We start from the raw sequence: 4,272 nt of genomic DNA on the forward strand, positions 1-4,272 counted from the left end.
TTTCTAGGACAATTTAAGTCCTGAACTATGAATACTTGGCGGTACTAGCAATGAGGATCATTAGCCAGTTCTGGACGTTAGCCACAGTATAGGCATGTCCCTCTTCACCTGCCTCACTCAAACACAGGCGTGACGTGATGAGGCTGGTGAGGTTACATGGTCTGGCATGTAATAGGTCACACACTCCCTCCATGACAAAGGAAGGCTTTGTCACGAGGGTGGATGATCTCTTTTCTTCCATCCTTGGTTAAAATTCTTCAAAGAGTAGTATCAACTTTCGGCTTCCATTCCCAAATCCCGTAAGGTTCTGCTGAAATTGAAAACGCAGTAAGGAACTTCTAACAGCCTGATTGAGGGCCTTCCTTTTGGGTCTTATTCTCCCTTACCTCTCTGTGGCTTTTGGTATTTGACTTCTTGGAAGGTGTCTTGACCACAGCCCAGGTTCAACTGTTCATACTCAGTATCTTTTGCTAGCTCTTCTCTCCTTCAATTCCTTTTTAAAATTAATATTCCTAAGCTTCTATCCTTAGTTCTTGTCTCTTTTTCTTCATGCTTTATGCTTATAATCTTCTAAAGCTGTCATCTGCAGACGATTTACCTACTCTCCTTTGGCCACCTCAAAATCAACCTGTCCAAAACACAGCTCATCATCTTGTTGTCTCCTTACCTCGGGACTGGCTCTTCTTCCTGGGCTTCCTTTCTCTGACCGGCATCATCGTTGACTGACGGCTCCACTTAGAAACCTCGGAGGCATTTCTTTTTCTGCTTTGTGCCTTCCCTGTCACCATCTGACCCTGCTGGTTTGCTGTGGGAATGTTTGTTTTTGAATATCTGGAATCCAGCCTTCCTCGTCCTTGGCTTAAAGTAATTGCAGAGACTTTCTCTTCCATTTTTTTGCTTACGGTTTCTCCCAGGTAAATTCTACCTTTCATGCGTCTGCCACAGCTATCTTTCTACCATATAAATGTCACTGAGTCCTTTCTCCATTAAAAAAAAAAAAACCTCTTGGTGACTCCTCATAGTTGACCAAGGCCTTTTTTTTTTTTTTTTGAGATGGGATTTCACCATGTTGCCCAGGCTGGAGTGCAGTGGCTATTCACAGGCATGATCCCACTACTGATCAGCATGGGAGTTTTGACCTGCTTAGTTTCTGACCTGGCCTGGTACACTCTGCCTAGGCAACCTGGTGGTCCCCTGCTCCAGGGAGGTCACCATATTGATGACAAACCTACTGTAGATACCTGATCGGCGTGGTGCACCGTAGCCTAGAACTCCCGGGCTTGAGCAATCCTCTTGCCTCGGCCTCCTAAAGTGTTGGAATTACAGGTGTGAGCCACTGCCCAGCCACCAAGGCCTTCAGCATGTGGCTACCGCCTTCCTATTCTGGCTCCCATCCTGTATCTCCTCCTGCCACACATGGAGCCTGCACCTCAGCCAGCTCTCGTCTCTAATGAGTTTCCCTCTGGTTCCCATTGACGCTGTGTCCTCCATCCACAGTGCCCTTCTGGACTTGGAGAGATCTTCTTCTTCCTTCCCTGACCTCCTGAGACCTTCCCTGAGCCTCTGAGGCCTTTCCTCTCCTTTCCCCAGCATTACTCACTTCCTGCTCTCTGGCCTTTGGCACCTCAGTCAAATCACTGGTAAAGCAGTTAACACATTGTTATTCCAGTTAATCACATGTCTTCCCCACCTCCCCTGCTAATGATGAGTTTGCTGTGGAGAGGACCTTGCCTTACCACCTCTGCATTGCCAGGGCATAGAACAGTGCCAGGCATAGGGCTAAGTCACTCTCTAAATGTCTGTCTAATGATCTTACTTACCAAGCTTGTTCAGTCACTGTTATTTTAAAATGCAGTTGTTAGACTCCTAGTTTTTTTTAAATGTGACTAAAGCTGAGTTGATGTCATTATTGATGATCAACTTCCACACTGAGCTAAGTTTTTGTTTTCATTCATCACACACACATCTTATCTATAAGAGGAGATGGAGGCTTCCTTGAAATTAGTGTTCTTTTTGTAGTTCTATTACAAATTCAGAAAGAGTAGGCCTCCGGAAAATTCTGTGCTTGTTTTCATCTCTAAACAGGAAGTCCAAAGGCAAATAAAAATGAAGACAATCCCAGTTTGCAAACAGTCAAAATTTTTAGCAACTCTCTCACCAAGTACTCTGGGATTTTAGCCCAGTCCTACTAATTTAGAGGAAGGCATTTGCTCGGGCTGACCATGCCTGGTGCAATTGATGGGCCCTTAGTGCGTTGGCAGGCATACTTGCAGCTTGCAGGACTTCTTGAGAAGGGCACTTCACCTCTCTGAGCCTTAATGCCCTCATCTGTAAAATGGAAACATTGATCCTGCAATTATAGGGTAATTTTAAGGGTTAAAGGACAAAAATGCATGGGAGCCCTGCTTTGGGCCTGGCATGTAGTAACCGCTCAACAAATCATAGCTGCAGGCCGGGTGCGGTGGCTCACGCCTGTAATCCCAGCACTTTGGGAGGCCAAGGCTGGCGGATCACGAGGTCAGGAAATCGAGACCATCCTGGCTAACACGGGAAACCCCGTCTCTACTAAAAATACAAAAAATTAGCCGGGCGTAGTGGCGGGCGCCTGTAGTCCCAGCTACTCGCTCCTGAGGCAGAAGAATGGCGTGAACCCGGGAGGCGGAGCTTGCAGTGAGCTGAGATGGCACCACTGCACTCCAGCCTGGGCGACAGAGGGAGACTCCGTCTCAAAAAAAAAAAAAAAAAAATCATAGCTGCTGAGAGATGTTGCCCATTGCCAGCACATAGAAGTGAGCCAGGAAGTTTCTGCTACTTGCAGGCTTAACTCTTGACCAGTCCAGGAAATACTGGTGCTTTACCCTAACACAAGAGACGTTTTAACTGAGATTACCTGAAGTTGGGCAGGTGCAAAGTGGTTAGGAAGTGCCCTCTTGCTTTACAATCCAGTGACCAGGGAAGAGGCTTTTAGTCATTTATGGATGGTTTTCAGGGCTTCTTTTAAGCCCTAAAACTGTGCCATCAATTTTATGTGAAAGTACATTTGACCAGGCAAAGAGTCTTTGGTTTTTATCAATTTCTCAGTGGAGTCTGTGACCCTAAAAATGCTAAGAACCACTAGCCTGGAGTTTTACAGACTGAGACATTTGAATGTAGATTTTGTATCTCATAATGAATGATGGAAACAGTGTCTTACGTTCAGAGTAGAAGTCCATTCTAGCCTGGATCCACTGCCAGCCTGCAGTGTGGCTTTGGACATCCAGATGGAAAAATGAGAGCTCCTTAGTCAAGACTAGAGTGTGAAACAATTTGGCTTTGTTATAGCTCATGTCCTTGGGACAGGCCCTGTTCTGCTGGGAACTCTTAGACCTCACCTTGAACAGGAGCTGGGCTGCCTGTAGGAGGCTGTGGCAGGCTCTGGCTCTGGGAATGATGCTTTTAGGTTGTGTGTGTGTGTGTGTGTGTGTGTGTGTGTGTATGCATGTGTGTGAGACTGGATCTGCATGGATCCTGGGTGGCAGATGTTTGCACCAGCTACCAGGGGTGGGAGGTGCAGTGTGTAATCCAGGAACTTTATAAAAGGGGGATATCCAGTGATCCTCATGTAAATGGAAGACAAACCTTGGCCATATTAAGCTGGGGCTCTAACCACCTCCTGTTAGAGCGGTCCAGCAGGTCCAGGAGGCTCACAGCTCCCACAACAGGCCTGGAGAGGACAAAGATGACCCATCCTGAAGGACCATCTTCCTGGCATGATGTCAGGCTTGGTGGCTCGGGTGCCTTTCCTTCCATCTGGGATGAGATGCTGCAGGGGGCCTTCTCCAGCTGGCCTTGTAGGGTTGGCCAAAATACAGAAACATCTAGCTCTTGACTTCCTCTCTGAGGCTGAAGGAAGCATTGACCAGAAATCGGGTGTGTTCAGACTACCTGACTCTGCCTCATTTCAACACCCCGGCTTTAGTGTGATAGGGTGTCGTCTAGGGGCATTCCTTGTCTGCACAGTGTTTCCAATGGAAATTTCTGTGTTCAGAACCAGGTAGATGCTTCCTTTGACAGGATCTCACTGCTTCTTGTACTTAGAGACCATTCTGCTTCTACTCTGAATTATTCAGCCTGCCCTGCAAGCGAATGGAAGTCCTTTATGTTCCTCGTTGAAGGAGAAAAAGATTATGTCATGAGATTTCAGCTCGAGTTTGTCTTCATGCATATTACATTCAGGTTTTTACAATGAGTGTTTGATTTGCAGTGGAGGAATATTTATTTCCAAATCCTCCA

The 4,272-nt window shown here is 46.6% G+C and overlaps 1 pseudogene; it reads right to left on the bottom strand.

Annotated features, from left to right (window-relative positions):
• On the bottom strand, nucleotides 1,051-1,340 carry RN7SL635P (RNA, 7SL, cytoplasmic 635, pseudogene; annotated as a pseudogene).

This window comes from Homo sapiens, chromosome 2 (genome assembly GCF_000001405.40).
Source record: "Homo sapiens chromosome 2, GRCh38.p14 Primary Assembly".
In the NCBI taxonomy this organism is placed as follows: Eukaryota; Metazoa; Chordata; class Mammalia; order Primates; family Hominidae; genus Homo; species Homo sapiens.